Here is a 12,532-nt window from a genome sequence, read left to right as displayed (position 1 = left end):
GGCACCATTTAATCAGATGCCAGCAAGTATAAAGCAGGCAGACAAATGTGAAAAGGAGAGACTGGCCTAGCCTCCCAGCCTACATCTTTCTCCCGTGCTGGATGCTTCCTGCCCTTAAACATCAGACTCCAAGTTCTTCAGTTTTGAGATTTGGACTGGTTCTCTTTGCTCCTCAAGCTTGAAGACAGCCTATTGTGGATGTTGTGATCATGTAAGTTAATACTTAATAAACTCCCCTTTATATGTAGGTATATATATATATATATACACATCCTATGATGTGTGTATATATATATCCTATGGTGTGTGTGTGTGTATATATGTGTATATATATGTGTATACACATATATATACACACACACACCATAGATATATACTAGGATATATATATACTATTAGTTCTGTCCCTCTAAAGAACCCTGACTAATACACTGAGACTCAATAATTTCCATTGTTCTGCCTTCAAGTTTGCCGATTCTTCTCTCTGCTCTAATTTGTCTTTGAATCCCTATAGTGAACTTTTCATTTCAGTTGTACTTTTCTGTTCCTAAATTTCTTTTGGTTTTCTTATAGGTTTTCTAATTCCTTATTCATATTTGTCTTTTGTTCATACATCATGTTCTTGACTCTCAATATCTTCCTTTAGTTCTTTGAGCATCTTTAAGACAGTGGCTTTAAAGTATTTGTCTAGTAGATCTGCCATCAAGTTTTTGTCAGGGACAATTTCTGTTGATTTTTTTTCCTTTAAATGAGCCATACTTTCCTGTTTCTTTACAGGTCTTATGAATTTTTGTTGAAAACTGGACATATAAGTCTAATAATGTGGTAAGTTTGAAAATCAGATTCATCATCTTCCCCACAATTTGCTGTTTTTGTTATTGTTTTTGTTTATCTTTTTATTGTTGTCGGCTATCTTTGTGCCAAGGATCAGCCTGAACTAAAACTTTAAGTCCACTCAGGTCTTTTCTGAACCTGCACCTTTCCCTCTGCCTGCGCAGTCACTTTCTAATTTTCCCTGTATATACAGTTGGTTTAAAATGTCCTATGTTTAATGTCTGGCTTTCACAAGAGGAAAAATGGAAAAATGAAAGTGGTGGTGCAAAAGGGTGCCAGCCCTTTCAATCTCCTGGAAGTCACTTCAGCTGAAGGGGGAAGGGCTTGCACAAATGAGGGAGATTACAATAACAGTAGCTAGCTGCCCCTTTCATTGTCTGTACCTTTGTGATCATAAGCAGCAATCAGTGATTACAGCACAGATCCCTAATATTTGAAAAACAGGGTCATCTTTGCCCACCTCAGCTCCTGTAAGCTATGTGCAAGATGCTCCAGAAACATGTGCAACTGTCTGCCACAGGGCTGGGAATGGGGACTGGTAGCTGCTACTGTGTTAAGAGCTGAAGTTGATGGAAATTAACTGCAGCATACAGTCCAAGCCTTTTCCTGGAAGTTTCAAGCCTTCAATAGACTCCAGAGTTCAAAAATAGTTACATTAGACAGATTCTGCCAGTGTCTGATTGTTGTCTAGGTGGAGAGACATATTCATGGTGCTTCCTACTCTACCATCTTCCCAGAATCCCATCTCTGAATACTTTCAAGAATAACAAGGCTTCTTTATAAGAGAGGAGGCTGGATTTCAGCTATGTTTATAGATACTGATTAAAAACTAAAATATATAAACTAACATCAGTTATAAATCTATAATAAAAATATTGCCTTCAACTATTTTCTGGAGTGTATCTCAGTGTATCAATGAATAGTTCCATTTATTAGGGGAAAACACTATCATCTGTATGACTAGAGAATGACTGAGTACTGTTGTGCTCTTAATAAAATTAATTAAGTCAGAGGTCTCATAAGGCAACCATGCACCTATTAAATTAACTATTTAAAAGACTAGACAAACATGATTGAGCCAAAATAAAATAGTTAAAATTTTCATAATAAAACAAAAAAAATTTAATTTAAATGCATATAATGCAGGTCTTTGTAGGCAAATTTATGTCTATACCACCTTCACATATGCACTGAAAAATATAGAGAATCCATATTTAGTGAAAATCCTGAAATATTAATTAGTTGTTAATTAATTTAGAAGAATTAATTTAGAGGAAAATGATGTTGAAATAGTGTATGAAGTAAGATTTAGCAATAACCAGTGAAAATTATACATGACTATCATTCTTCATCTGGTTTTAGAAAAAGTGATCAGACAACTTGTACAATTTACATACTTCTCCTCTAGAAAAAAATTTTTAAAACTCTACATTGTCTAAATATACAGTATTTTTTGTGTAAGTGGTTTTGTCCTTTTTTCTGAAGTTGGGAGCATGTATTTAATATCTAGATCAATGTGGTGCAGTATAGAGACAGCATTTGAGGATATAGGAGCTCCAAAGTGGAAAGGACCATAAAAGATTAAATCCCTAGGAAGTCTAGACAATAGAGTGTAAATTGGAGTCAATACAATCTCCATCTTCAAAGAAAAGGAAATCTCAGCTATCCTGAGGTAAGATTCTAAGGTCAGCTTCATGAGCAGCTAAAAGATTCCCGTATCCTTTATAAAGCGGCCAAGATGGAATATTCTATCCTGTCTTCTGTGGTTGCCAGCAGAACTATCTAGGAGCACATTCAAAACGTCAGAGCAGAGAAGATGCCTCGTATAACGATGACTGGATCACAACTAGCATGAAATTGATTTATATGGTGTTATTCCATACTTAATGTTTTCACAAAAACAGCCTTCCCTCTTACCTGCTTCAAACTGAATAGTATAAAACACCAAACAAAATAGTATAAAATACATAGTTTTTACTATATATTTGCCAAAGATATAGTAAAAACCCATTAAAAAGTACCCCTAATTTTCACAGATTTAATTTTACTGTGGATTAAATTGCATGTTTTAAATACGTACATGTACTTATTTGTATTTCTAAATATGTACACATCTATTAACAAAACAAACAAAAAACATCCAGCTGGGCACAGTAGTGTCTGCTTGTAGACTTAACTACTTGGGAGGCTGAGGCAAGAGGATCACCTGAGCCCAGTAATTCAAGGCTGGCCATCACAAAAAAAAAAAAAAAAAAGAAAAAAAAGAAAATATTCAAATTGAGTAAAAGGTATCCACATTTCTGACATCCACTTTTTATCAAGTTTTAATGAAAGCATGATTTGCAGATGAAAAGTTTCAATATTAGAATATAAACACAGATCATTTAATTGATTTATACTTATTAAACCAAATATGTGGAAATAGGTCCAGTTTACCTATTCTCATAAATTTGAGAAACTATTAGGTTGGTGCAAAAGTAATAGCAAAATCGCAGTTACTTTTACACTAATCTAATAATCTATCTATTAATTATAATGTGAGATTTAAAGTTTAAAAAGAGTCAAAAAGATACTGAAGGAGTTAGTATAAATGAAATATTCCATTTGAAATTGAAAAACTGGTTGCAATCCATAATTAAGTTTTCCTGTGAGCTATGGCTATAACATAGAGTCTCCTCTTCTCAAGAGAATTTAAAAACTACCAAATGATAGTCTTAAAATAGTTTCAAAAGGCAATCACATAAAGTCTTCAGTTGATTTTTATTATATTACCATTAGAAAAATAAAATTTAAGGCTGGGCGCAGTGGCTCACGCCTGTAATCCCAGCACTTTCGGAGGCCGGGGCGGGCTGATCACAAGGTCAGGAGTTCGAGACCATCCTGCCAAACACGGTGAAACCCCGCCTCTACTAAAAACACAAAAAAATTAGCCGTGCATGGTGGCGGGCACCTGTAGTCCCAGCTACGTGGGAGGCTGAGGCAGGAGAATGGCGTGAACCCAGGAGGCGGAGCTTGCAGTGAGCCGAGATCGCGCCATTGCACTCCAGCCTGGGTGACAGAGCGAGACTCTGTCTCCAAAAAAAAAAAAAAAAAGACAGAAAGAAAAATAAAATTTAAAACTCTCACAACTATTTTATATCCATACTTTCTTTGAGAAAAACACTAAAAATACAAATATTTGAATTAAATAAACAGCATACATTATATCAATCTAAAAGCAACTTATACATATTTTATGATCAAAGATAAAAATTACCATAACTAAAAATAAGTGCAAGAAGAATAAAGTTTTGATGTTATGATACCTACCTTTAATGTGATACTATAATGTCCAACGAATGTTGCCTTTATCCATGATCTTGAATGGGGATCGCCCAGGAATTCTATGTGATACTCTTCAACATTTCCATCCGGGTCATAAGTTACATATTTCCCTTTAAAACGGTCAGGGCAAAGTATTCCTGGCCAACTTTCAAAAGAAAATATTTGTAATTATTTTGATGCTTTTAAAAAGGTAGACATCAACACGTCTATCAATCGCATATTAACTTCCTCCTTTGAATTTTAATGCCTTTTCACAAAACATATATTCCTACTTATATCTTTCAAAGGTAGGATATTTGTTTGATACAAGTAATAAATTGTATTTTATAGTTATAGAAAGCTTTGAAATGGTCACAAGTTTAAGATATAGATAAGACATGAGGAAAGAATTATAAAGCAAAAGAATGATCTCCAGGGACAATAAGAGATATTTAGGCACTGATGATAGAAAAGATAAGAGAAAAAAAAAGATTCCTCAAATTCATGTAGAGCTGAATTAACTCTAAATCAAATGATTAATTAGCAAAATGTTAACCCACTAAGCATGGCTTCTGATGGCGTGGGAGAGAGCTGGTATTTCCTGAGCCAGGTCTGCCAAAGGAATCCTGATAGCTCAGGCTTTGACAATGCTGTGGAGTCAAACTACTGTGGGAAAAGCAGAAATAGAGCTCTGCAGTTCCATCCTGTCTCCTTCCTCCATCTGCTGCATTGCCAGGTGACCACATTGTTAAAAAATCTTCAACATTGAAAATAAAATTTATTCTTTATTAAAAACAAACATTTAGAGATATGTTATTTCATGACATAAACCTCTACAAATTTATTGATATGTTTCATTTTTCTCTTTGGTCTTCATTTCCCACTTTTACCCATTCTATTCTACTTTTTTTTGTTGTATTTGGTTTTTCTATTTCATAATATGCAGCAGAGAGCTCCTGTCATTAACACCCCTGATAAGCAAAAACTGAAATAATAATTCTATATGGAGTCTGAACAGGAAATTAGAGAATAGTCCTGAAAAACCTCTGAAGTGAGAAAACCCACACCTAAGAAGTTATTCATTTTATTTGGTTTATCATGTTCTGTTTAAAAGGAAGTTTGAAATAAACTGAAAATTTATGGGAACATAATCACTGTAAAAATTCCTGATTGTGAATGTAAATAAAAACAAATTTAGCACTAAGAAAATTAGAATTTTTAAGTAATATATTTGCTCAATATTTTAAAAATAATTTCTGTAATTTTAAACAGTAAAATGAAAATTGATTCAAGGGTATTATAAGAGAAACTGAGGAGGAATATCACAGATATTTAAAAGTGGTCAAAAAAAAAAAAAACTGGGGTGGAATTGGAAGAGGCAACTTACTGAGGCAAGTTAATGATGTCAGTGTTCCCAGCACTCCTTTGAGGCTTTGATTATCAATTTGATCCTCCCACCAACCTGATGAAGTGATGAAGTAAGTTTTTTTTGTTTTTTGTTTTTTGTTTTTTTTTTTTTTAAGAGGGAGTCTTGCTCTGTCACCCAGGCTGGAGTCCAATGGTGTGATCTCGGCTCACCGCAGCCTCCGTCTCCTGGGTTCAAGCAATTCTCCAGCCTCAGTCTCCCGAGTAACTGGGATTACAGGCGCCTGCCACCATGCCTGGCTAATTAGTAGAGATGGGGTTTCACCATGTTGGTCAGGCTGGTCTCGAACTCCTGACCTCAAGTGATCCGCCCGCCTTGGCCTCCCAGAGTGCTGGGATTACAGGCATGAGCCACTGCACCCAGCCTGTTTTCTTTATTTAAATGAAAACTGAGTCTTGGAGCTATTCTGTAACTTTCTTAAGAAGACTGTTAATAAAAGGTGAAAACATGGTTTGAAAAAGGACTTTCTAATGCCAAAACCCAAATGTTTTCCACTAGATTAGATCACAGTCATGGCTCAGAAGCGGGATCAGTACCAAAGGGAGGGAAACCACAGGGAGGCTATATTCAACTCAAGAAAGGAAAAAAAGAAAAGGACTTAAGAATAATTAGCCCAAAGATGGAATATTCAGCCTCATAAATTACATTTCCTTGCTGGTTAAGAGCCTACACAACCATTTGATAAAGAGTACCAAAGTATGTGTGGTGTATAGTGTAGGGAGTATGTGTGTTTGTGTGTGTGTGTGTGTGTGTGTGTAAGAATATGCTTTGCTTATTGAAGTGGGGCAACCATATGATCTCTGGTTTTCTCTAGCTCTATGATAAAATCAATTTGATGAGGATTATCTGATACCATAGTCAAAAGAGTAAAGTTACTAAAATAACAAAAGGCCTTTCTTATCTGATATTTGATCAATAAGGATTGCTACTGTATCAAGACCAGGGATAGAATGATGGTGTGCTTTCAGTGAAATAAAACTGAAAAAGATACAGATGAGTTCGTCTCAGTAATATCTATTTTTTTCATTCAGATAATACATTGTAACTATAGCTAGATATTTTATTTATCTTACATATATATTAAGTCTACAATTTCTTAAATACTTAGTATTAATGTATCAAAAAATTGACTTTTTATTTTAAAAACTACAACTCTAAAATCAAAATTATCATCTTGTATTTAAAAGCACAATGTAAATTATTAGGCTAAAACCATCCATGGCAAAATTGCACTTATATATCAACTAAGTGTTAAAAAATTAACCAATCATTCTACACTCTGACCTACTGTTCAGAGAATAAAGCAGGAAGGGAAGACAGCAAATAAGGTCAGTAAGCTATGATTAAGGAATGTACAGTAGAAATATGATCGAGTTTTACAGATCAAGATATAAAATATGCATACCTAATATACCAAACCATTCAAAAATCTGTACAGCTGTCAAGTGTTACTTCACTTTGCAGCACTGTAAAGTCCCATTTAGACAATGATGTGCATAATCCCAAATCCTGTACCCCTCTACCTTTCGTATGCCCCCACATGTTATAGTTCAGTGATCTGAGACACAGAATGCTTAGATTTTTCCAACATTTCCTAGTGGTACAGCAAAGGCCAACACATGCTCAAGTCTCTTGACCAGCAACATTTTTCTCTGGTTTTGCCATAAACCAGACAAGACGCACTGATATGGTTAGGCTTTGTGTCCCCACCCAAATCTCATCTTGAATTGTAATTCCCATAATCCCCACATGTTGTAGGAGGGACATGGTGGGAGGTAATTGAGTCATGAGGGTGGTTACCCCAATGCTGCTGTTCTTGTGATAGTGAGTGAGTTCTCATGAGATCTGATGCTTTTATAAGGGGCTTTTCCCTCTTTGCTCAGCACTTCTCCTTGCTGCCACCATGTGAAGAAGGATGTGTTTGCTTCCCCTTCCACCATGATTCTAAGTTCCTGGAGGCCTCCCCAGCCATGCTGAACTGTGAGTCAATTAAACCTCTTTTCTTTATAAATTACCCAGTCTCAAGTATGTCTTTATTAGCAGTGTGAGAACAAACTAATACAGGCACCAAGCACGTATCTAGACCTCATAGTAACTGGTTCCTCACTGTGTTGTTATAAAGTTCAAACAAACATATACTTTACACATTTTTGGTTTTTGGCAAATTAAAAAATTGTAAAGTGACATCATTATGGGCTGAATTTTGTCCTCCTCACACCCTCAAATTTGTATGCTGAAGTCCTAGCTTCAGATGTGGTCATATTTGAACAGAGAGCCTTAAAAAAGGTAGTGACGTTAAAATGAGTTCATTAGGGTAGGCCCTAATCCAGTATGACTGGTCTCCTTATAAGGAGAAGAAATGAAGACAGACATGCACAGAAGGAAGACCATGATAGGGCACAGCAAGAAAATAGCCATCTGCAAGCCAAGAAGAGGGTCTTAAAAAAAAAATTAATCCTGCAGACACTTTAATCTCAGGATTTCTAGCCTCCAGAACTGAGAAAATAAATTTCTGTTGTTTAAGCCACCCAGTCTGTGACATTTTGTTATGGCAGCCCTAGCAAACAAATACAATCATATATATATAAGATATTTGGTACAACTGAGAGGAGGAAAAATGATACAAAGATATATTTGCTTCATTAAGGTAACTATTTGTAAACTAAATTGTTTAGATAATTTTAAAATCTAAAGAAAGTATACATATCATGCTGTAAAGAATCTGAAATCACAAAAATAAAATATCCATAAATTGCTTGAATTTGAGGACTGTAGGTTATTAATCTGTTAAATTATCAATTGATATCAAAGTTATAAAATAAATCTATGCAACTCATAACCAAATAAAAAAGTTATTACTTGTATTAGTTCATTCTCATGCTGCTATAAAGAACTGCCTGTGACTGGGTAATTTATAAAGGAAAGAAATTTAATTAACTCACAGTTCCACATGACTGGGGAGGCCTTAGGAAACTTACAATCATGGCAGAAGGGGTAGCAAACATGTCCTTCTTCACATGGCAGCAGGAGAGAGAAGTGAAAGAAGTGCTGAGTGAAGGGGGGAAAGCTCCTTATAAAACCATCAAATCTCATGAGAACTCACTATTATGAGAAGAGCATAGGGGAACTGCCCCATGATCTAATCACCTCCCACAAGGTCCCACCCCCAACCTGTGGAAATTACAATTCAGATTACAATTCAAGATGAGATTTGGGTGGGGACACAGAGCCAAACCATATCATTCTGCCACGGGCCCCTCACAAATCTCATGTCCTCACATTACAAAACACAATCATGCCCTTCCAACAGTCCTCCAAAGTCTTAACTCATTCCAGCTTAACCCAAAATTCCAAGTCCAAAGTCTCATCTGAGACAAGGCAAGTCCCTTCTGTCTATAAGCCTGTGAAATCAAAAGCAAGTTAGTTAATTCTTAGATACCATGTGAGTACAAGGCATTGTGTAAATACACTCATTCCAAATAAGAAATTGGCCAAAACGAAGGGGCCTCAGGCCCCATGTAAGTCCATAATCCAGTGGGGCAGCCAAATCATAAAGCTTTGAAATTATCTCCTTTGACTCCATGTCTCACATCCAGGTCACGCTGATGCAAGAGGTGGGCTCCCACAGCCTTGGGCAGCTCCACCCCTGTGGCTGTGCAAGGTACAGTCCCACTCCCAGTTGCTTTAACAGGCTGGCATTGAGTGTCTGTGGCTTTTCCAGTTGCACGGTGCAAGCTGTCAGTGGATCTACCATTCTTGAGTCTGGAAGAAGATGGCCCTCTTCTCACAGCTCCACTAGGCAGTGCCTCAGTGGGGACTCTGTGTGGGGGCTCCAACCCCACATTTCCCTTCTGCACTCTCCTAGCAGAGGTTCTCCATGAGGGCTCTGTCCTTGAAGCAAACTTCTGCCTGGACATCCAGGCATTTCCATACATCCTCTGAAATCTAGGTGGAGGTTCTGAAACTTCAATTCTTTATTTCTATGTACCTGCAGGCCCAACACCATGTGTAAGCTGCCAAGGCTTGGGGCTTGTACCCTTTGAAGCAACAGTCTGAGCTGCATTTGACCCCTTTTAGCCATGGCTGGGACACAGGGCACCAAGTCCCACGACTACACAAAGCAGCAAGGCACTGGGCCCGGCCCGTGAAACCATTATTTCCTCCTAGGCCTGTGGGCCTGTGAAGTGAAGGGCTACCATGAAGACCTCTGATATGCCCTGGAGACATTTTCCCCATTGTCTTGGTGATTAACATTTGGCTTCTTGTTACTATGCAAATTTCTGCAGCTGGCTTGAATTTCTTCTCAGAAAATGGGTTTTTCTTTTCTATCACATCATCAGGCTGCTAATTTTCCAAACTTTTATGCTCTACTTCCCTTTTAAACATAAATTCCAATTCCAAACCATATCTTTGTGAATGAATACATAAAACTGAATGCTTTTTAGAGCACCCAAGTCACTTCTTGATCACATTGCTGCTTAAAATTTCTTCCACCAGATACCCTAAATCATCTCTCTCAAGTTCAAAGTTCCACAGAATCTCTAGGGCAAGGGTAAAATGCTGCCAGTCTTTTTGCTAAGGCATAGTAAGAGTCACCTTTATTCCAGGTCCCAAGAAGTTCCTCATTTTCATCTGAGACCACCTCAGCCTGGACTTCATCGTCCATATCACTATCAGCATTTTGGTCAAAGTCATTCAACAAGTCTCTAGGAAGTTCCAAACTTTCCCACATCTTTCTGTCTTGTATCGAGCCCTCCAAACTATTCCAATCTCAGCCTGCTACCTAGTTCCAAAGTTGCTTCCACATTTTTGGGTATCCTTATAGCAGCAGCCCACTCTGTGTGGTACCAATTTCCTGTATTAGTCTGTTGTCATGCTGCTATGAAGAAATACCCAAGACTGGGTAATTTATAAAGGAAAGAGGTTAAATTGACTCCCCAGTTCCACATGGTTGGGGAGGCCTCAGGAAACTTAAAATCATGACAAAAGGGGAAGCAAACACATCCTTCTTCACATGACAGCAGGAGAGAGAAGTGAGAATAGTGCCAAGTGAAGGGGGAAAAGTCCCTTATAAAACCATTGGATCTCATGAGATCTGACTCAGTATCATGAGAACAGCATGGGGGAATTGCTCCCATGTTCTAATTACCTCCCACAAGGTCCTGCCCCCAACACGTGGAGATTACAGTTTGGATTACAATTCAAGATGAGATTCAGGTGGGTTACAGAGCCAAATTGTGTCATTACTGATCATAATTAACAGAACAATGTAAACTAATAAAAATATTTCATGCCTGGTATTAGTGACATAAAAATTCGGATTCTAGGAAGTTGATGAGTCCCAACTCTACTGCCAGGATGTGGTGACATGGGTGCACGGTCAACAGAGATGGTGGAATGTGAGAATGAAGTAGATGTTCAGTTGCTCCCCAGAGGCTGAGCAGAGTCCTATGGCTCTTGTGCCTCTGAGTTAGGGAAAGCACAGGTAGAGGACTACCTGGCAGTCATAGATTTTAGAAGAAGAAGGTCTAGAGCATTACACATTGTTTCCAACTATCTGGAACCCAAAGAAGCCTAATACGTTAAAAGAACTCTAAGTGATAACAGAAAGTCAATTGTAGCGTCAGGACCTCAATGAAGAAGACTCTCTGGTTATTATCAGGTTCACACACCACAGTATCTCATTGTTTGGCGACTGTTATTAGGCTGTCCTTAAGAGCAAACTTGAGTGGAGTTTACCTTGTAAACTTACATTGGAAATTTACATTACTGAAGGAACCCACTAGAAAGAAGACCTCACTAAGAAGCAGAAATGGAGACTCCATGGCAGCAGCAATGGAGACCCCAACTTAACAGAAATTTAGAAACAATGGGTCTTTCAAGCTAATTAACATCTATTTTAAAAGCAACCAATCCATAATTGTTACATTACAGTGTTAAAACTGTAAAATGTAAGGGGTTTATATTTAATAGTTGGTGATTTAAAATTTCTAAAAGGATTATTGTCAAGCAATATCAAATTAAAAGTAACACCTACTCCATTCAGCATAAAATAGTCTCAAGATTTCTCACACTTAAGTCATAAAAGTGGGAAGTATTTTGCAGTTATTATGTATAACATGAATGGCTATTTTGATAGTCTTTGATAAATCACATCTCTATTGGGCCCAAGAGTATTCATTTTAAATTATTACTTTATAAATAAAAACAGAGACGACCCTCAAAAAGAATTGGATGCTAATGAAAGAGAAAGCTTCTGTTCATATTTAAACATATTAAATTATAGAAAATCTTGCATGCCGATCTAAAGACAAATTGTGAAAGATATTGTCACATGGCCAAATAAATGGGGCATTTCAGTATTTCTTCATGAGGCAGAGGGAAATTCTCTGACTCAGTCTGTACATCACAGTTAAAAATGAATGTGCTAAACTAAAGGAAAAGCTGAGCAGAGACAATAGATGTAGAAAACATGATTACTTCTCCTCATCTCCTACATTCATCATCTTTTCAGACTTGAGGTGTTTGAAGAAAGCTGATGTCCACTTTTTGCCCTTACACTGACCTCATTCTGAGTTCAGACACTGTCAACCATGATAATGCATTGTGCACTTCCATTTCTCTATTTTTCCTTTTACTCGGATGAGAAATTCTGAAGCATTATCAGGAGATTTAATGATGAAAGGGAGAGGAGTGGGCAACCCAATGGTAACTTATCAGAATTACAAGAAAAGTATACGATCAATTTTGGAATCTGTGGGTGGTGAGAAGTAAAATGCACAAATGCAACAAAATCAGATAGATACCAGTCATTGAAATCCATCGGAGGAAAGGGCAAATTTTGGCAGGACAAGTAGGCTCAAGGGAATGCAAATGTATCAGGAAGAAACTCATGTCTTACATATTTGTTATCCAGTAGAAATGATCTTTAATAAGACAATTATTGCCCCCATAGAAGCTGAAGTTTAA

General features: G+C 37.1%; 1 protein-coding gene and 1 pseudogene across 4 annotated transcripts in view; one reads left to right on the top strand and one right to left on the bottom strand.

The window, feature by feature from the left end:
• The window catches only part of ZCWPW2 (zinc finger CW-type and PWWP domain containing 2), a 177,638-nt gene that overhangs the window by 86,946 nt on the left and 78,160 nt on the right, over positions 1–12,532 (bottom strand). For all 4 annotated transcript variants that reach the window (NR_136708.2, NM_001040432.4, NM_001324169.2 and 1 more), the window contains one exon: positions 4,144–4,303. Coding sequence is in view for 3 of the 4 variants with exons in the window: in NM_001040432.4 (NP_001035522.1) it covers positions 4,144–4,303 (160 nt within the window). In the remaining variant the exon portion in view is untranslated. The remainder of the gene's footprint in view (positions 1–4,143; positions 4,304–12,532) is intronic.
• On the top strand, positions 10,969–11,450 carry CIAO2AP1 (CIAO2A pseudogene 1; annotated as a pseudogene).

The sequence above is a fragment of the Homo sapiens genome, chromosome 3 (assembly GCF_000001405.40).
Source record: "Homo sapiens chromosome 3, GRCh38.p14 Primary Assembly".
Lineage (NCBI taxonomy): Eukaryota > Metazoa > Chordata > Mammalia > Primates > Hominidae > Homo > Homo sapiens.
Note: the sequence above shows the minus strand (reverse complement) of the source record. Positions and strands in the feature narration are given on the sequence as shown.